This window comes from Homo sapiens, chromosome 2 (assembly GCF_000001405.40).
Source record: "Homo sapiens chromosome 2, GRCh38.p14 Primary Assembly".
Classification (NCBI taxonomy): Eukaryota; Metazoa; Chordata; class Mammalia; order Primates; family Hominidae; genus Homo; species Homo sapiens.
The window spans coordinates 120,012,766-120,034,873 of record NC_000002.12 but is presented as its reverse complement, the minus strand read 5'-3'; the positions used below and the strand labels follow the sequence as shown (position 1 = coordinate 120,034,873).

At 41.9% G+C, this 22,108-nt stretch overlaps 1 protein-coding gene across 13 annotated transcripts in view, besides 1 other annotated feature; it reads right to left on the bottom strand.

Moving 5' to 3' along the window:
• EPB41L5 (erythrocyte membrane protein band 4.1 like 5) overlaps window positions 1-21,797 on the bottom strand; it is a 166,043-nt gene extending 144,246 nt beyond the window's left edge. For 7 of the 13 annotated variants that reach the window (NR_138472.2, NR_135920.3, XM_006712651.2 and 4 more), the window contains exons 1-2: window positions 21,664-21,797; window positions 15,610-15,797 (exon numbers count right to left, since the gene is read on the bottom strand). Coding sequence is in view for 9 of the 13 variants with exons in the window: in XM_006712651.2 (XP_006712714.1) it covers window positions 15,610-15,789 (180 nt within the window). In the remaining 4 variants the exon portion in view is untranslated. Of the gene's footprint in view, window positions 1-15,605; window positions 15,798-15,925; window positions 15,945-21,192 lie in introns of those variants that run through there. The other 6 variants (XM_047445208.1, XM_047445210.1, NM_001184938.4 and 3 more) reach the window with 4 other exon arrangements.
• Window positions 21,452-21,621: a silencer, noted in NCBI's record as "silent region_11915". NCBI's record gives its function as "represses an Ori minimal core promoter by ATAC-STARR-seq in GM12878 lymphoblastoid cells {active_cell/tissue: GM12878}" and the evidence as "EXISTENCE:reporter gene assay evidence [ECO:0000049][PMID:35858748]".
• Window positions 21,798-22,108: the final 311 nt, after the last annotated feature.

Sequence of the window (22,108 nt, the reverse complement as noted above, 5' to 3'; positions counted from 1 at the left end):
TGACTGATTTTGAGATGGGGTCTCGCTCTGTTACCCAGGTTACAGTGCAGCGGCATGCATGGCTCACCACAGCCTTGACCTCCAGGTCTTAAGGAATCCTTTCGGCTCAGTCTCCCAAGTTGCTGGGACTACAGGTGTGCACCATGATGCCTGGCTAATTTTCGTGTGTGTGGTTTTTTTTTTGTTTTGTTTTGTTTTGTTTTTACAGGGTTTTGCCATGTTGCCCAGTCTGGTCTTGACTGCCTCAGCCTCCCAAAGTGCTGGGTTATAGGCGTGGTCACACTGAGCCCAGCTAACAAATTTAACTGTGCTAAAATTTGCTAATGGCAATCACTACACTACAAGTATTTTTATTCTACACTACAAAATATTTCTACACTACAGCAGAAAGCCACACAAGTCTTCTGCTGAATTCATCTATCTGGTACCAAACTTATATGTTTCCATTACTTTCATTCTAAGGCATAGCTCTAGAATCAATTTCATATTCCATCAACATTCTATATTTGCTTCAAGACAAAAGGGAAGCATTGCTTTAAAAATAACTCTCCTCCTTATTCTGCCAAAGCATCATTTGCTAGACTATTGAAATACAACAGTTGTGTTCTAAGGTGAGAAAGAATGGGCTTCTGCCAGCTAGACAGCTGCGTCCTCAGAACAAAAACCTTTTCAAGGTTATACATTGACTCCTCCTTAACAGATGCTAGTTCTAAGACAACCAATAGTGAACACAAGACATTTATAGGTTCCTGAAGTAAACGATACATGATTTTATTTTTTCAGACAGGACAACTCTGTTGTCCAGGCTGGAGTGCAGTGGTGGGATCTTGGCTCACTGCAGCCTCAACCTCCTGGGCTCAAGCAATCCTCCCACCTTGGCCTCCCAAGTAGCTGGGACCACAGGTGTGCACCATCATAGCTGGCTAGTATTTTACTTTTTCTGTAGAGACAGAGTTCTCATAATGTTACCCAGACTGGTCTCAAACTCCTGGGCTCAAGCAATCCTCCCACCTCAGCCTCCCAAAGTGCTGGGATTATAAGCGTGAGCCATCACACCTGGGCAACAATGCACAATCTATTTTAGGTTGGTACAAAAGTAATTGCGGTTTTCGCCATTAAAAACTATTGCAAAAACCATAATTACTTTTTTTTTTTTTTTTTTTTTGAGATGGAGTTTCGCTCTTGTTGCCTGGGCTGGAGTGCAGTGGCGTGGTCTCAGCTCACTGCAACCTCCACCTCCCCAGGTTCAAGCAATTATCTTGCCTCAGCCTCCCAAGTAGCTGGGATTACAGGTGCCTGCTACTACGCCCGGCTAATTTTGTATTTTTAATAGAGATGGGGTTTCACCACGTTGGCTAGGCTGGTCTCCAGCTCCTGACCTCAGGTGATCTGCCCACCTTGGCCTCCCAAAGTGCTGGGATTACAGGCATGAGCCACCATGCCTGGCCCATAATTACTTTTGCACCAACCTCATAACAAAATTCTGATATCCCAAAAAAGAATTTCTCAGAACATCTTACTTTTAGAGATAGCATGTAATTTTTAAAAAACTTCATTGAGTCTAGCCTTCCTGAGAAAAAACTATACCATTTCATGAAAATAAGTCACAGATAACAAGTAAATGCAGTAACTGTAGTATGCTGGTTTCAGGAAGATTTCTGATTCTAACCCAGAAATAAAATGTTATCATTGATAAGATGGAAAGCATGGTCATGATAATACTTATTCTGGGTGAGTGAATACCTGACTCAATCAAAATTGGAGAAATAATTATCAACCTGCTAGTATCAACCTTAGAAATGGTGTTCTAAATCAATTGGTTCTGTCCCATTCTATATTTTCAGAGTTTTTAATTTCATTACGCACTTAACAATACATACGGGAAAATTTTCATTACAGGAAAAAAACATTTTTGACATAATATTCAATTCCTAGACAGACACCTATTATGTGTTAGATGTTAGTTATACAGATGAATATGCTTATATTTGCCCTCAAGCAATCACAAGGTTCTTAACTAAATATAAAATTACAAACAACTACTTTAAACACAATAAATGTGAATGTTACTCTTACAGTATAACAAAATGCTAAAGAAATGAGGGTGAGTTGTTCATTCTGCCTCACGTATTAAAGGCTTCAGAAGATTCTATATTCAAAACCGGGCCTGGAAATGTGAACAGAATTCTGTTAACCTAGATAAAAACAAAATAAAGATCTGAAATCTTGACAGTCTAAGGAAGGGTTTAGGAAAGAAAAGACTGTAGGCAAGAGTCAGAAGACGAAGTGACAGAAGCTGCCAATGGACTGTGATCTGCCTAAAACTGCCACACAGAAATGTCACTCTGTTCTTTAAAATCCTTTAATCATTCCTCATCATTTACAGATCAATGTGCAAACTCCAGGCACAAAATAGTCCTTCCTAGCTGTTCCTTGCTTATTATTACATATCACAGCCTATTTCCTCTATCATTTCAGCTTTTTTGTTTGTTTTTGAGACGAAGTTTCACTCTTGTTGCCCAGGCTGGGGTGCAGTAGCATGATCTCGGCTCACTGCAACCTCCATCTTCCAGTTTCAAGCAATTCTCCTGCCTCAGCCTCCTGAGTAGCTGGGATTACAGGCGCCCACCAGGCTGAGCTAATTTTTCTATTTTTAGTAGAGACGGAGTTTCGCCTTGTTGGCCAGGCTGGTCTGGAACGCCTTAACTCATGATACGCCCACCTCAGCCTCCCAAAGTGCTGGGATTACAGGTGTGAGCCACCGCGCCTGGCCCATTTCAGCATTTTTATCTGCTTATAATCTCCCCAATAAGTCATGCCTCTGAACCCTTGCAAAATGCATTTCTTTCTGCTTAGAACGTCCTTTATGCCTCTAATGAACTTTAAAAAAAATTTTTTTTGTAGAGATGGAGGTCTGGCTACATTGGACAGGCTGGTCTCAAACTCCTGGCCTCAAGCAATCCTCCTACCCCAACCTCCCAAGGTGCTGGGATAACAGATGTGAGTTACCACACTGCGCCCTTCTAATGAACTCTTGATTCTGGTTTCTCAAGAATCAGTATATCAGTGTTGCCTTCCAATAATCCCACAGAGAATAAATCCTGCTTCCTCTGTACTATCTTGTACCCATAATTCTAATTAGTGTAAAGCCAGCATAGACTTGTAATGGGTCTATCATGTTTAGGCAACAGTAAGAAGGTCCAGGATGGTCAGAGTGTGTAGAATATGGATGTGAGATCTTGATTACAGGTTCAATGTCTTGTTTATTTTCATAAATTAAAAATAAAATGTTTTTCTCACCTTGTAGCTATTGAAAATGAACAAACTGGAAACAGGAAAGTGAAAACAGACCCACAAAGCTCTGGCCCACTACAAATTCATTAGTCATCTGTATCTACACCAGTACCTGCTACTCATGTTCTTTATCCCCACCTAACAAATTTATTTCAGGTCACCACCTCTTTCAGATCCAGCCCTCACTTCACCTCCTCTTTGCAATGATTAAGTTCATCAAGGTATTGTTACCACCCAATGGGTTCACCTTGCCCACTGCCTAGACAGAACCAATTTATCAAGACAGGGGAATTGCAATGGAGAAAGAGTAATTCAAGCGGAGCTGGTTGTGTGGGAGACTGGAGTTTTATTATTACTCAAATCAGCCTGAGCATTAGGGGATCAGAGCTTTTACTGATAATTGGAGGCTGGGGCTGGGCGTGGTGGCTCATGCCTTTAATCCCAGCACTTTGGGAGGCCGAGGCGGGTGGATCACCTGAGGTCAGGAGTTTGAGACCAGCCTGACCAACATAGTGAAACCCTGTCTCTACTAAAAATTAGCTGGGTGTGGTGGCGGACGCCTGTAATCCCAGCTACTCAGGAGGCTGAGGCAGGAGAATCACTTGAACCCGGGAGGCAGAGGCTGCAGTGAGCCAAGATCACACCACTGCACTCCAGCCTGGGCAATGACAGCGAAACTCTGTCTCTAAATAAATTAATTAATTAATAAAATAAACATAATTTGAGGCCAGGCACGGAGGCTCACACCTGTAATTCCAGCACTCTGGGAGGCTGAGGCAGGCAGATCACCTGAGGTCAAGAGTTTGAGACCAGCCTGGCCAATATGGTGAGACCTCATCTCTAGTAAAAAACACAAAAATTAGCCGGGCATAGTGGCATGTGCCTGTAATCCTAGCTACTCGGGAGGCTGAGGCAGGAGAATCACTTGAACCCGGGAGGCGGGAGTTGTAGTGAGCCAAGATTGTACCACTGCACTTCAGCCTGGGCAACAGAGCCAGACTCCGCCTCAATAAAATAAAATAAAGATAATTTGGCAGGTAGGGGCTTGGGAAGAGGGGAATGCTGACTGGTCAGGTTGAAGATGGAATCATAGGGGTCAAAGTGAGTTTTTCTTGCTGTCTTGTTCCCAGATGGGATGGCAGAACTGGTTGAGCCAGATTACCGATCTGGGTGATCTCAGCTGATCCATCCAGTGCAGGGTCTGCAAAATATCTCAAGCACGGATCTTAGGTTTTACAGTAGTGATGTTATCCTCAGGAGCAATTTGGGGAAGTTCAGACTCTTGGAGCCAGAGGCTGCATGACCCCTAAACTGTAATTTCTCATCTTGTAGCTAATTTGTTAGTCCTGCAAAGCCAGGCTGGGCCCCAGGCAAGAAGGGGGTCTTTTCGGGAAATGGTTATTACCAATCTTGTTTCATAGCCAAACCATGAACTGAATTCCTTCCCGAAGTTAGTTAGGCCTACGCCCAGGAATGAACAAGGACAGCTTAAACGTTAGAAGCAAGATGGACTTAATTAGGTCTGATTTCTTTCACTGTCATCATTTCCTCAGTCATAATTTTGCCAAGGCGGTTTCAATCCCTCCCTTTGTGTTTCATAGCACCTTATTCTCAAGGTGTGGGCTACGAAGACTGGAAAAAGCCGTCAATAACTCTGGCTTCTTCCTGCTGACGGGCATCGTGGGAATAGGAGCTGACCCTAAGGTGAGAGGAGTGGAACCGCTTTGCAGCTGAGTGTATGCATGCAGGCAGGGCTGGGATTCCAAGGCCTGCATGACAAAGGCGGTAGTATTTTTATCTATAGTTTTAGTATAGCATTTAAATGGACAGTGTACTATAAGATAAATAATGAGTTTTAGGTTAAGGAGTACAACTTCCAGTTTTAAAAGTAAAGATCTGAAAGCATTAGTTTGGGGACTTACAGTCCACAAAAAATTTAGGATTTAGCCTAAAGAGAAGAAAAATAAAAACTCAAAAACAACAACAGGTGTATTATAGGCTGTTTCAGCATTATCTTTTCATCAGCTTTCCGTCTTTCTCAGCAGAAGGTATTTCTCCTAGAATGTTCTTCCTCCCATCTCTACCTATGTATATAAAACCAATTACCTATAATCCCAGCACTTTGGGAGGTTGAGGCAGGTGAATCACTTCAGGTCAGGAGCTCGAAGCCAGCCTGACCAATATACGAAATACAAAATTTGTATATTGTATATACAATACTAAAAATCTCTACTAAAAATACAAAAATTAGCTGGGCATAGTGGTGGGCCACCTGTAATCCCAGCTACTTGAGAGGCTGAGGCAGGAGAACTGCTTGAACTGGGGAGGCAGATGTTGCAGTGAGCCAAGATCATGTCACTGCACTCCAACCTGAGCAACAGAGTGAGACTCCATCTCAGAAACAACAACAACAACAAAAACCGCAATTACTGAGGAACATTTTTCCTATTCACTTAAAGAAACTCAGATCTGCCCTAACCAGCCATTCTCCAACTGCCGTGCTATCTCCTTCCTTCCATCTATTGCCAAATCTCATAGCAATCCTGCGTTTTCCCTTCAGGCACTTCCACAAACTAATCAATATTAAGCACCTACTATGTGCAAGGGACTGTAAGAGGTCCAAAAAATATGACCGTCTCCAATAATTCCTTTAGCCCTCTAAAATCTGGCTTTCAAACACACCATCCCACCAAAACTCTTTGCTTCACTTCCATCCTTTTTCTCTCTTCATGACAGCAGACTATCTTCTCATGATCTTTGACATAATTGATATGCGCCCCTCCCATCAGAGTTAGAACTGTATTTTACTCATCTTTATTCCCTCCCCACGCTATATCCAAGTAGTAAGCACTAGTCCTCACTCCCCTCCCGCCAACCATATCCATGTACTAAGCAGGCACTCTTTCCTATGCAGCCTCACTGTCACTGTAAGTCTGCAGCCTCATCATCTTGTATCTGTATTACCGTAGCAGTCTCCAGGCATGATTTTTTCTTCTGTAACAAATCAAGCATATCACCTCTAAATTAAACCTATGTATCTTTCTTTTGTTGTTTTTTTCTCTGTTGCCCACACGGGAGTGCAGTGGGATGATCATAGTCCACTGCAGCCTCTACCTCCTGGGCTCAAGCAATCCTCTCACCTCCAGCCTTCTGAATAGTTGGGGCCACAAGTGTCCACCATGACACCTGGCTAATTTCTTTTATTTTCTTTTGAAACGGGGTACCCATGTGTTGCCCAGACTAGTCAAACTCCTGGACTCAAGCTATCCTCCCACCCTGGCCTCTCAAAAGTGCTGGGATTACAGGCATGAACCACTATGCCCAGTCATGTTTCTTACTACTAAAAAATCTTGAGTGGAATAAAATACAAATACACAAAAATCAATGCATTCTTTTTAAAAAAAAAAATAACTTCCGGCCGGGCGCGGTGGCTCACGCCTGTAATCCCAGCACTTTGGGAGGCCGAGGCGGGTGGATCACCTGAGGGCAGGAGTTCAAGACCAGCCTGGCCAATATGGTGAAACCCTTTCTCTACTAAAAATAACAAAAATTAGCTGGGTGTGGTGGTGGGCGCCTGTAATCCCAGTGACTCGGAAGACTGAGGCAGTAGAATCGCTTGAACCCAGGAGGTGGAGGTTGCAGTGAGCCGAGATCGCACCACTGCACTCCAGCCTAACAAGAGTGAAACTCCATCTCCAAAAAAATTAAAAAATTTAAAGAAATTTAAAAAAATAGCTTCACTGAGCTGTAAGTCACATACCTTCACCCATTCAAAATAAACAGTTCAATGGATTTTAGTATATTCACAGATATATGCAACCATCACAAAAATCAATTTTAGAACATTTTCATCACCTCAAAAAGAAACCCTAAGCCAGGCACCGTGGCATGTGCCTGTAGTCCCAGCTACTTGGGAGGCTGAGGTGAGTGGTGCATCACTTGAGCCTAAGAGTTCAAATCCAGCCTGGACAACGTAGCAAGACACCATCCCTAAAAAAAAGAAAGTCCATATATTATAGTTGTCAACCCCTACCACCCTGTCAGTTCCCACTCACTCAGGCTGCCCTAAGCAAGCACAATCTATTTTCTTTCCCTTACAGATCTCCCTCTTCTGGAATTTCACATGAATGAAATCACATGGTCTTTTGTGACTGCCTTCTTTTAACAGAATAATGTTCTCAAAATTCATCTACGTTTTAGCAGTACGCTTCATTTCCTTTATGGCTAAATAACATCCCATTATATGGATATTACAGGTTTTATTTATCCATTTACCTATTGATGAGCATCCAGGTTATTTCTACTTTTTAACTATTATGAATAATGCTGATATGAACATCCGTTACAAGCTTTTGTGCAATATGTTTTCCATTCTCTTGGAGATATACCTAGAAATGTAACTGTTGGGTCAGGTGGTACTATATGAATAACTGCCCCACTATTATCCAAAGCAGCTGCGCCATTTTACATTCCTACCAGCAGGGTCTGAGAGTTCTGATTTGTCCATATCCTTACCAACACTTAATATTATCTGACTTTATTTCAGCCTTCTTAGTTGGTGTGAAGCTGTATCTCACTGTGGTTTTATTTTGCATTTCTGTGATGACTTATGATGTTGAGCTTCTTTTCATGTGCTTGCTGGTCATTTATATAACCTATTTGGAGAAATGTCTATAGAGATCCTTTGCCCATTTTTAAATTGGGTGTTCTTTATATAGCCTAGATACAAGTTCCTTATCAGATATATAATTTGCAAATACTTTCTCTTATTCTGTGTGACAGTCTTGTAACTTATTTGATGGTCTCCTTTGAAGGCTAAATGAAAAATTTTTCATTTTGATGAAGTCCAATTTATTTACTTTTTCTTTAGTTGCTCATGCTTTTTATATCATATGTAAGAAAGTGGTGCCAGGCCGGGCGCAGTGGCTCACGCCTGTAATCCCAACAATTTGGGAGTCCAAGGCAGGCGGAACAATTGAGGTCAGGAGTTCAAGACTAGCCTGGCAAACATGGTGAAATCCCGTCTCTACTAAAAATACAAAAAATTAGCCAGGTGTGTGGCAGGCGCCTGTAATCCCAGCTACTCCGGAGGCTGAGGCAGGAGACTGGCTTGAAGCCAGGAGGCAGAGATCGCAGTAAGCTGAGATCACGTCATTGCACTCCAGCCTGAGCAATAGAGTGAGACTCCGTATCAAAAACAAACAAACAAACAAACAAACAAAAAAACAGAAAGTGGTGCCAAATCTAAGATCTAAAGATTTACTCCTAAATGTTTGAGGTGATGGATATCTCATGTACCATGATTTGATCATTTACACATTATATACATGCATCAAAATAGCACTATGTACCCCCAAAATATGTACGACTACGATATATCAATAAAAAATTCCAAAAATTATGCCTATTTTTTTCTAAGGATTTATAGTTTTAGCTCATACTTTTAGGTCTTTATTCTGAGTTAATTTTTGCATACAGTGTGAGAGCCCAATTTCATTCTTTTGCATATGGCAATCCCACTTCCCCAAGTACCGTTTGTTAAAAAGACTATTCTTTTTAACATCTTGGCATCTTTGTCAAAAATCATCTGACCCATGACCGCATGGGTTTGTTTCTGGGTTCTCTATTCTGTTCCACAGACCTATGTGTCTATCCTTGTGCCAGTCGCACACCAACTTATTGTTGCTTTGTAGTAAGTCTTAGAATTGGAAGTGTGTGTCCTCTTAGTTATTATTTTTCAATATTGTTCTAGCTATTAAGAGTTCCTTACAATATCTTAAGAATTTTAGAATCAGCTTGTAAATTTCTACAACTATAGGTCAGCTGGAATTCTCATGGGGACTGCACTGAATGCATCAATCAATTTGAGGTGTACTGCCATCCTACCAACCTTAAGTCTTCAAATTCATGAACATGGGATGGTGTTCATGTATTTAAAAGTATAACTATATACAGTCTTACATAATTTAAAGCCTTTAGCATCTGTACAAGAAAGTAGGTATATAAAAATTGTTATCTATTAACCTTAAATGTAAATGGGCTAAATGCCCCAATTACAAGACACAGACTGGCAAATTGGATAAAGAGTCAAGACCAATTGGTGTGCTGTATTCAGGAGCACCATCTCACCTGCAAAGACACACATAGGCTCAAAATAAAGGGATGGAGGAACATTTACCAAGCAAATGGAAAGCAAGAAAAAAAAATCAAATAGACACAATGAAAAATAATAAAGAGGATATCACCACTGATCCCACAGAAATACAAACTACCATCAGAGAATACTATGAACACCTCTATGCAAATCAACTACAAAATCTAGAAGAAATGGATAAATTCCTGGACACATACACCCTCCCAAGACTAAACCAGGAAGAAGTCAAATCCCTGAATAGACCAACAAGAAGTTCTGATATAGAGGCAGCAATTAATAGGCTACCAATCAAAAAAAGCTCAGGACCAGATGGATTCACAGCCGAATTCTACCAGAGGTACAAAGAGGAGCGGTACCATTCCTTCTGAAGCTATTCCAAATAACAGAAAAGGACTCTAACTCATTTTATGAGGCCAGCATCATCCTGATACCAAAACTTGGCAGAGATAAAACAAAAAAAGAAAATTTCAGGCTAATATCCCTGATGAACATCGATGCGAAAATCCTCAATAAAATACTGGCGAACCGAATCCAGCGGCACATCAAAAAGCTCATCCACCATGATCAAGTCGGCCTCATACCTGGGATGCAAGGCTGGTTCAACATGCACAAATCAATAAACGTAATCCATCACCTAAACAGAACCAATGACAAAAACCACAGGATTGGCCGGGCGTGGTGGCTCACGCCTGTAATTCCAGCACTTTGGGAGGCCGAAGTGGGCGGATCATGAGGTCAGGAGACCGAGACCATCCTGGGTAACACGGTGAAACCCCATCTCTACTAAAATACAAAAACAGAATTAGCCGGGTGTGGTGGCAGGCACCTGTAGTCCCAGCTACTCGGGAGGCTGAGGCAGCAGAATGGCATGAACCTGGGAGGCAGAGCTTGCAGTGAGCTGAGATCACGCCACTGCACTCCAGCCTGGGCAACAGAGTGAGATTTCATCTCAAAAAAATAAACAAACACACACACAAAAAACCACATGATTATCTCAATAGATGCAGAAAAGACCTTTGATAAAATTCAACAAGTCTTCATGCTAAAAACACTCAATAAACTAGGTATTGATGGAACGTATCTTAAAATAATTTAAGAGCTTTTTATGACAAACCCACAGCCAATATCATACTGAATGGGCAAAAACTGGAAGCATTCCCTTTGAAAACTGGCACAAGACAAGGATGCCCTCTCTCACCACTCCTATTCAACATAGTATTGGAAGTTCTGGCCAGGGCAATCAAGCAAGAGAAAGAAATAAAGCGTATTCAGATGGGAAGAGAGGAAGTCAAATTGCCTCTGTTTGCAGATGACATGATTGTATATCTAGAAAACCCCACTGTCTCAGCCCAAAGTCTCCTTAAGCTGATAAACAACTTCAACAAAGTCTCAGGATACAAAATCAATGTGCAAAAATCACAAGCTTTCCTATACACAAATAATAGACAAACAGCCAAATCATGAGTGAACTCCCATTCACAACTGCTACAAAGAGAATAAAATGCCTAGGAATACAACTCACAAGAGATGTGAAGGACCTCTTCAAGGAGAACTACAAACCATTGCTCAACAAAATAAGAGAGGACACAAACAAATGGAAAACATTCCATGCTCATGGGTAGGAAGAATCAATATCATGAAAATGGCCATACTGCCCACAGTAATTTATACATTCAATGCTATCCCCATCAAGCTACCACTGACTTTCTTCACAGAATTAGAAAAAACTACTTTAAATTTCATATGGAACCGAAAAAGAGCCCGTATAGCCAAGACAATCCTAAGCAAAAGAACAAAGCTTGAGGCATCACACTACCTGACTTCAAACTATACTATAAGGCTATAGTAACCAAAACAGCATGGTACTGGTACCAAAACAGACATACGGACCAATGGAAAAGAACAGAGGCCTCAGAAATAACACCACACATCTACAACCACCTGATCTTTGACAAACCTGACAAAAACAAGGAATGGGGAAACGATTCCCTATTTAATAAATGGTATTGGGAAAACTGGCTAGCCATATGCAGAAAACTGAAACTGGACCCCTTCCTTAACATCTTACACAAAAATTAACTCAAGATGGATTAAAGACTTAAACATAAAACCTAAAACCATAAAAACCCTAGAAAAAAACCTAGGCAATACCATTTAGGACATAGGCATGGGCAAAGACTTCATGACTATATCACCAAAAGCAATGGCCACAAAAGCCAAAATTGACAAATGGGATCTAATTAAACTAAAGAGCTTCTTTTTATTTTGCCCAGCAAAAGAAACTATCATCTGGCAAACTACAGAATGGGAGAAAGTTTTTGCAATCTATCTATCTGACAAAGGGCTAATATCCAGAATCTACAAGGAACTTAAACAAATTTACAAGAAAAAAACAAACAACCCCATCAAAAAGTGGGTGAAGGATATGAATGGACACTTCTCAAAAAAAGACATTTATGCAGTCAACAAACATATGAAAAAAAGCTCATCATCACTGGCCATTAGAGAAATGCAAATCAAAATCACAATGAGATACCATCTCATGCCAGTTAGAATGGCCATCAATAAAGTCAGGAAACAACAGGTGCTGGAGAGGATGTGGAGAAATAGGAATGCTTTTACACTGTTAGTGGGAGTGTAAATTAGTTCAACCATTGTGGAAGACAGTGTGGCAATTCCTCAAGGATCTAGAACCAGAAATATCACCTGACTCAGCAATTCCATTACTGGGTATATACCCAAAGAATTATAAATCATCTTACTGTAAAGACACATGCACATGTATGATTACTGCAGCACTATTCACAATAGCAAAGACTTGGAACCAACCCAAATGCCCATCAATGATAGACTGGATAAAGAAAATGTGGCACATATACCCCATGGAATACTATGCAGCCATAAAAAGGATGAGTTCACGTCCTTTGCAGGGACACAGATGAAGCTGGAAACCATCATTCTCAGCAAACTAACACAGGAACAGAAAACCAAACACCACATGTTCTCACTCATAAGTGGGAGCTGAACAATGAGAACACACAGACACAGGGAGGAGAACATCACACACCAGGGCCTGTCGGGGGGTGGGGGGTTAGGGGAGGGATAGTATTAGGAGAAATACCTAATGTAGATGACGGGTTGATGTGTACAGCAAACCACGATGGCACGTGTATACCTATGTAATAAACCTGCACGTTCTGCACATGTATCCCAGAACTTAAAGTACAATTTAAAAAAAGGAAAAAAAATTGTTATCTATTGGTTAATTGACCAAACATTTCCCAATTTAAAACTTATAAGGGTTTTACATTAAAGCTATTTACCAATACTAAGCTCTTAAACAAGTTTACTGTCGTATTTTCAAAGAAAAAACTTAAAAATTAGATAGAAATTTCTACCTGATACCTTTGTCATTCACTGAAAGGCCTTCTCACCCTATTTAATTTTTTTTCTTTAAAGGAAGAAGACGGCTAACTATAATCACTAGTGACCCTTATCCTAGACCCTTATCGTAATGGGAAATGAGTATGTGCTTCATTCAATTTCTAAAATCAATTCTAAATCTTCTCCCAGAATCACAGTAGACTGGTTGAGAAAATAAATCTGAAAAGGGGAAATCATTTCTTCTTTTTTAGAAATTATTATTCTTCTGGACTATTTTTTCCTTTAGTGACAATTTAGTAAAACAGGCCAATGACCACTTTATATCCATGCACGTACCTAGAGTTAGGTTAATAAGTACGATTTCACCTACAGAATTGGAAAGACAGTTGTTCCTTTTTTTTGAGATGGAGTCTCGCACTGTCACCCGGGCTGGAGTGCAGTGGTGCGAATTCAGCTCGCTGCAACCTCTGCCTCCTGGGTTCAAGCGATTCTCCTGCCTCAGCCTCCCAAGTAGCTGGGATTACAGGCGTCCGCCACCACACCCAGCTATTTTGTATTTTTAGTAGAGACGGGGTTTCACTATGTTGGCCAGACTGGTCTCAAACTCCTGACCTTGTGATCCGCCCACCTCGGCCTCCCAAAGTGCTGCGATTACCGGCGTGAGCCACTGCACCTGGCCCAATTGTTCCTTTTTCTTTTTTTTTGAGACGGAGTCTTGCTGTCACCCAGACTGGAGTGCAGTGGCGCGATCTCAGCTCACTGCAATCTCCACCTCCCAGGTTCAAGTGATTCTCCTGCCTCAGCCTCCTGAGTAGCTGGGACTACAGGCGCATGCCACCACGCCCGGTTAATTTTTGTATTTTTAGTACAGATGGGTTTCACCATGTTGGCCAGGCTGGTCTCGAACTCCTGGCCTAAGGGTTCTGTCTGCCTCAGCCTCCCAAAGTGCTGGGATTACAGGCATAAGCCACTGCACCTGGCTGACAACTGTTCTTGTTTCACAAAAAGTCCAATCTATATCTCCAGCTGTTTCACTACAATTGTCCCCATGAGAGACCAGCTAGTTTATAAATTTGATCAAGCATCACATACACCCAGCTAAGCATACAAAGTTTAGGAAACCATTCCAGATCAGTAACTAGCCATTTGTTCCACCACTTTAAAAGCTAGTGTTGTTTCTCCTCCATACTGCACTGCGTTTTTAAAAACCTCTTTTTTTTTTTTTTACAAATTCTACTCTCCTACTATCAGCTTGTCCATCAACAACCCTGAAACTTCATACTTCAAACATTAGGTAATAAGAAATTTCTTTCCAGTCTCTTACACAGCAATCTCAGGCTTTTCACCACATATCCAATGATATTTTAATGAAATAGTAAACAAAACTCTTAAGATTCCTATCAAATAAGAAATGAGTATGAAAACTATCCTCACAAAATATCTCATGTTGGAATGTCTGATAAACCCTCAAGAAGCACTTACAGGAAGAAAATTTAGATGCTTTCAAGTTGTCCAGAATCAAAAACCCTAAAAATATACATTCTTATAGACAAAGATAACAAATACACGTAATGATGACTTCAAAACACTTCAAGAAATCCTGAGTCTTTGATTAATTTTATCATATTCTAATATTTTAAAATGTATAATGTACATATCTAATACATTCCAAATTATTAAGTTAATCAGAACATCCATTTAAACAAACTCTCCAATTCCTTATACTCTCACTTGGTGAGTTTAAGGTCTTCCCGAGCTTATTCAATTATGTATTACAGCAGCACGTAGGCTATCACTTTGCCCAAAGAGACTTTTTAAATTGAATTTTGGGTAGATGAGTGTGTACTAAAAAGTCTGTGGGGAGAAAAGACATTAAGGAATATCCTATGAAGCTCACATCAAATGATGTAATTTACCGTTAAGTCTTTGAATGCAGAACAAAGACATGAGAAAGAGATTTGGTATTAGCAAGCAACTCAGAAAAATATTCAACTGCCCAAAACCAAAAAGCCAACCTTTTCTTCCCCTCCTCCACCCAAAAAGTCCTGTAAAAAAATAAGCTAACCCCTTTCAAACATGTCAGATTGTTTCACACTGAGTTATGATTATATATTTCTGAAAAAAAAAAAATCTATCCAAAATGCAAATATAATTACAACAGCCTGTCTTGAGATAAAGACTACAGTGTATGAAAAACCTACAATGCAAAATACTTCAGGAGCAAAGAGACAGGCAGTCAGAGCTGAGGGGTATGAAGAAAGTCCTTTTTCTCACTTCACCTCATTAATGTCTGCAAGTAAACCAAATTGTGGGGAAATATTTATTTAGAAGAAAGTAAGGAGAGTTTTAAAAAATACAGAAGTGCATAGAAGCTAAAAGTCTTACAGTACACATTTAAGTGTTGTTATTCTCAAAGATTCACAACGTTTTAATAATGGTTCAACAAGGATTGTCAGAAATCCACTAGACTACATCATGTGCTGCCATCACAAAGAACACATAGAAAGACACATGAAACAGACTCATGCCAATAACTGCCCTGTCATTTAAATGTTTCAGGTAATCGCCACTAATTCCAAAGAGAAATACCACCAATCCAAGTACTTTTGGTCTACGGTTATCTGATCCATGTACCTGAATGTTACAGTGCCTGATCTATACTAACCCATAATACCTTTACTTATTTCCATCCAGAAGTTACCAATACAAAGCTTTTAAACAAACAAACAAAGACAGTAATCGCAAACAGAATTTGGAGCTCAGCAAGACCTACTTACTGGCAAGTCCACACTAACATCAGTACCATCCAGAAGGGACACCCGACACGTGATGATGGACTTAGAATCTCCAGCTGCAGGAATATGTGTGGCGGCGCGTTGTGCTTCTCGGAGTCGTTCCTTCTCTGCATGTTTACGCATAGACCGACGCCCTAGTGTTCTACGGAAGAAACTCAGCATTTTTGTCACTATAAAAACAGAGAGAAAAAGATGGCATCAGGAAAAAAATGAGATTCTCCACAACTTGCAGTCAGTCAAATGGCATTATTTAGTCAAGTCCTGTGAACATTAGTAGAAATGCTACTAAAAAGGACACCTGGGCTGGGTGCAGTGACTCACGCCTGCAATCTCAACACTTCGGGAGGCCTAGGCAGAAGGACTGCTAGAGCCCAGGAGTTCAAGACCAGCCTGGGCAACATAGTGAGAACTAATCACTACTAAAAATAAAATTAGCCAGGTGTGGTGGTGCATGCCTGTGGTCCCAGCTACTTGAGGGGCTGTGAGGCAGAAGGATCACTTGACCCCAGGCAGTCAAAGCGGCAGTGAGCTGGGATTGCGCCACTGCATTCCAGCTCAGGCAACAGAGCAAGACCCTGTCTCAAAAAATAAGTAAATAAAAAACAAAAAGGGCTCCTGGTCAAGTAAATTTGAAAAAAAAAATCATTAAAACTGGCTTTTCATAAATATTTCAAGACATATTATAAATGATAAATATACACAATTTTTGTCAATTAAAAAGTAAATTAATTAATTTAAAAAGCTGGTTACTTTAATTCAAAGTTTTAAAAGACTTGTATGTATAAGACACAGCCACAGTTTGGAGCTTTCTAAATTTACCGGACCATTTTATCAGGAACTGATTTGGCAGGAGAAGGCAAACATTCATGAAGTTCATCAGGTCTTCTAAATAGATAAATTATATGTACAACATCTTGTATATCCCAAGATGATGTCAGACACTAAGGTATCCTTTGATGATCATAAAAATTCTGAGAAGTGGCCGGGCGCGGTGGCTCACGGCTGTAATTCTAGCACTTTGGGAGGCCAAGGCAGGTGGATCACGAGGTCAGGAGATCGAGACCATCCTGGCTAACATGGTGAAACCCCGTCTCTACTAAAAAAAAATACAAAAAAAAATTAGCCGGGCGTGGTAGCAGGCGCCTGTAGTCCCAGCTACCGGGAGGCTGAGGCAGGAGAATGGCATGAACCCGGGAGGTGGAGCTTGCAGTGAGCCGAGATGGCGCCACGGTACTCCAGCCTGGGCGACAGAGCAAGACTCCGTCTCAAAAAAAAAAAAAAAATTGGCCGGGTGTGGTGGCGGGTGCCTGTAGTCCCGGCTACTGGGGAGGCTGAGGCAGGAGAATGGCGTGAACCCGGGAGGCGGAGCTTGCAGTGAGCTGAGATGCCTCACTGCACTCCAGCCCGGGTGGCAGAGGGAGATTCTGTCTCAAAAAAAATCCTGAGAAGTTCCATTTCTTTTCTGAGCATTCATAATAAAAACACAAAAACAATCACCTATTTCAGCTAAAATACAGATATAATTCAAATTTCCTAAGTTTTGTCAAATATTCTATTACATACAGATTTTAAATAACTACTTAACATAAATCTTTTTAATGTCAAAGTACTTTAATGCTTTTTTCCTTAACTCTATAAAGAACATTAATGTTAATCAAAACAGTTAAAACAGGTTTTAAAACATAGCACACTAAATGGAAACACAAAATCAAAGTCACTTTGCTATCCTCATGTGTTTCATTTGCACAACAAAGAGAGTTTAAGTACACATAAGCCAACAAATAAGCCAAAAAGACTATTAATTCCAAAGAAAACAAGAAGCTGTGCAGAAAAGGAAAAGTAAATCACAATACACTACATGACTCAGCTGCTAATGATTTCAATGTCAAATACTAAATACTGATCGAACAATAACCACAACAGACAGGAGGTACATAATAAGAGGTAGGGGATACAGATATGGAAAGAGCTAATTCCTCATGATGCGTAACAGCAAGCCAACAGGTCATTACTAGAATTTAAAAATCAACAATTAGCAGTAAGAGCATTTGATTTAAAATGTGAAAATGATTGCCTCAGGAGAGGGAGCAAAAGAATTCAGGAGAATGCTGTTTTTCAAGAGAAGCCTTCAGATAAAATGACTTTTTCAACTAGATTTATTTATAAACCCGATAAAATCCGATTTTTAAGATAGTACCATATTAAAATGTCTATACACTGAAGATTAGCCTACACATTTTACACATGTATACTCTTGCGTAATTAGGTAAACTAATCCCAAGGAAATAACTAAAATTTTAGTTAGATAACTTTCCAGTGTTCCAAACACTCATATATAATACCTGGTCCCAGTCTCTTTCTCCAGATTTTTTTTTCCAGGTATTTCTCCCTTTGGAACTTGCTATCCAGTCTCATTTCAGCTGCCTAAGACTGTACTTGTTATCCCAGATTTCTAAAATCCTGTGTCACAGAATCCCTACATATTCCTTTTAACTCCACCAATATCTCCCAAGAAACATTTTATGATATCCCACCAGTGCACTCCAACCTGAGTGAGACTGAGACTCTACATCAAAAAAAGAACAAAGAGCAAGATACGAAAAAGTCCTAAAAGATAATTTAAAAGATGTTCATAAAAACGAACACCTTTAACAGTATCCAAGAAAATCCAAATGAAAAAAAATAAGATATTGTCTGTCATTTAAAGACTCAAGATAGTGTAAAAAAGAATGTGAGAAAAAATAATCCTCCTACGTTGGCCTTTTTTGGAGGGAGACTTGACCATGCTATTAATATTTTTTTAATTCTTTTTTTTTTTGAGACAGTCTCAACCTAGTCCCCCAGGTTGCAGTGCAATGGCGCGATCTCGGCTCACTGCAACCTCCACCTGCCGGGTTCAAGAGATTCTCTTGCCTTGGCCTCCTGAGTAGCAGGGATTACAGGTACCAGCCACCACGCCCAGCTAATTTTTGTGCTTTTAGTAGATACTGGGTTTCACCATGTTGGCCAGGCTGGTCTCAAACTTCTGACCTCAGGTGATCCGCCCGCCTCGGCCTCCCAAAGTGCTAGGATTACAGGCGTAAGCCACCTCGCCGGACCAATACTAGAAATTTTAACATGCATATTCCTTACTCAACAGTTCTATTTCTGGAAGGATAACCTAAAGAAAAAAAATCACACATGTGCTTTAAGTTGTAGGAACAGGATTTTTCGGAGCATAACTGATTTAAGAAAATTTTAAATGTGTTCATCAATGTGCAAACAGTTAAACAAGTTATGGTACACACAACAGCATACAATACAGTTGTTTTATTTTTATGTTTTTTTTTTTTTTTTTTTAGAGACAGTCTCACTCTAGCACCCAGGGCTCACTGCGGCCTTCATCTACCATGCTCAAGGGATTCTCCCACCTAGGGCTACGGGCACATACCATCCCACCGGGCTAACGTTTTTTCAATGATTTTTTGTAGAGACAGGGTCTTGCTACTTAGCCAGGTTTGTCTCAAACTCCTGGCCTCAGGGAATCGGATTCCTCCCACCTCAGCCTCCCAAAGTGCTGGGATTACACGCATGAGGCACCAAGCCCAGCCATAATACAGTTGTTTTAAATAAATAGTTGACTTAGATATGACAAAATTTCTAAGTGAAAAATCAAATCACAGAACACTGAAGAGAGTTTCATCCTACACGGAGATGGGATACATGCACACACACAGACACGCTAAACAGACACACACGTAAACTGTTGAGATTCTCTCTGAAGAGGGGCATGTCAGAAGTCACAACAAGAATATATGGCTGGGTACAGTGGCTCATGTCTGTAATCCCAGCACTTTGGGAGGCTAAGGCGGAACTGTTGGAAGCCAGGAGTTCAAGACCTGCCTGGGCAACACAGCAAGACCCCACCTAATTTTTTTTTTTTTTTTGAGTCTCGCTCTGTTGCCCAGGCTGAAGTGCAGTGGCGCGATCTGGGCTCACTGCAAGATCTGCCTCCCGGGTTTACGCCATTCTTCTGCCTCAGCCTCCCAAGTAGCTGGGACTACAGGTGCCCGCCGCTACGACCGGCTAATTTTTTGTTATTTTTTTTAGTAGAGGCGGGGTTTCACCGTGTTAGCCAGGATAGTCTCCATCTCCTGACCTCGTGATCCGCCCGCCTCGGCCTCCCAAAGTGCTGGGATTACAGGCGTGAGCCACTGCGCCTGGCCTAATTTTTTTTAATGGAAAAAAAAAATAATATGAATGGATCACTAAAAGTTGTGGGTTTTTTTTTTTTTTAATGATTGTGAAAAAAGTTTTCTCATACTCACTTTTCCCCTCCCACCTGCACTCTTCCAATTGCGCTCTTCATGTTGCAGCCACTGGATTTTTGGCAACCACAAATCTGATCCCTGTTCTAAAATCTTTAATGGCCCTGGTCCTAGATGCAGCTCCTCCTACTTGCCTGACCCATCTGTCAGCCTACTCCCCTCTGTTTGCTCTGCTCTTGTACTCTTGCTGCTCGGCCGGAGAGTCTTTTTAATTCTGGACCATTTTTCATTAGCTGTTCCACCTTTCTGGATTGCTCTTTTTCCAGTTGACCTCTCTTCCACCCGCTCCCATTTCACTGGACTAACTTCAGACTTATAGTTGAAATGTCTTATTCTCAGAAAAGCAATCTCAGACTTGTGAGTCTAAATTCGACATCTCTTTCAGTACTCTTAGCCTTTTCTTTATAACAAAGAAATTGTAATTAAATATCTGTTAATTATTATCTTTTTTACTGACTACTTCCCCCACTCACACACAAGGACAAAGACTTCGTCTGGCTTGTTCACTACTTTGGCCCAACAGCTGGCTTAACCCGCATCTCGCCTGACACACTAGAATGACACAGTGGAATTTTTGGATGGTAGGTTTATGTGGCTTCCAAAAAACAGTAGTTTCTACTCTAGTTCCTAACTAGAAGGATTTCCTTTAGAATCATAAAATGCAAATTTAAGCAATCCTATCAGAAGTTGGTTAAAAAAAGTACCCAAAACCCAAAAGTTAGTCATGAAATATGTATACTCTTACATGACTGGTGGCCACAATATGGTTGGTTAATTGCTTTTTGATAAAGCAATATAACATACAGCAAATGCCATTTAAGGTAACACTATATTTTGTCCCAGTATTCCCAATAAAGAAAATGCAAGCGAGTAATTCAACAGCAGTTACGCATATCGTTTTCGAATAATGTTAACCTATTTTCTAAAGCCTGCACAGCATATTACATGCACAAATAATCCAACAAGGTTAACTAGAGCTCAGCAACGGGTTATGTTAGAAACTGAGTTAATGCAGTTGTGGGTTACATTACAAATGTACACGGTTATGGGAATTTTCCCCGTAATTCTTTAAAAACTTTTAATATTAGTCTAAAATATTGCCAAACGTTTTAAGAGTTGGGTCTCGCTCTTAGGTAGAATTCGAGTAACCACAGACACAATTAACATTTACACACCAAAGAACCCATCATTAGCACGACAACCGTCCCGGGTGGGGGCGGGGCGGGACCTTCAGACCTCGTCTTTCATGGGAACACACCTGCCTCTCCTTTCCCAAGAGACTGAAGTTTTTCTCAAATACAGGTTAGCTCGAAAAGTCCACCAAGACAGTGACACAAACTCAGTTCGTTTTTCCCCTTCCCTTGCGACTTTTGTCTCTCCCGCTGGACGGCAGCCCAGCGGACCAGCGAGGGGTACCCGCGGCTCGGGGAGCGCGTCCGCTCGGCAAACATTAACCCGGCTGCCCCGGGCCCTCCGCCCCGGCCCGTCGCGCGGTATCGACCGAAACTCGGCGGCCCTGCCTCATTGGCCGCCGCCGCCCCTCCCTCCGGCGGGATTAATGCCCTGCCGGCCCGACGAGAGAGGGGCCGGCCGCCCTAGGGTCTGGGTGCGGCCCCCGCCCGCCTCCCCGGGGACAAGGCCGCTACCGCAGGCGCGGGCGAGGAAGGGTCCACTCGGCTAGGAGCGCAGCGGACTGTACTGCGGCGCCGCCGCCGGGCCTCGCGCTTACCTGAGCTGGGGACGGCGCAGCCCCGGCGACCAGAGCGGGGAAGAGCCGAGCAAGGCTGAGAAAGGGGCGGCTCCTCGGTAGACGCCGAGAAATGGCGCCCACAACGAGCCCACCGGCTCTAATCCCCGGAGGACCCCGACCTCCCGCCCGTCCACCCCTTAAAGCTCCCTCCCAGCTCCGCCCCCAGGGCGGAGCGCTCCGCTCTTAAACGGGCGATGACACCGCCCCGGAAATTGGCCGGCGCGGCGACTGGAGAGAAACCGGCGAGGCCGGGCCCGGCCGGGCTGGAACTAGCGCCAGCAGCCGGGCGTCCGCGGCTGGTTTAAAGGGGCGCTGCCGAAACCCAGTTCCCGCTGCGGCCCTCCGCCCGCGGAGGAGGCGCCCGTCCGCAGACAGACCCCAGTTAGTCCTATCACGAAGGAGGCTGGTGGAGCTGGCTGCTAGA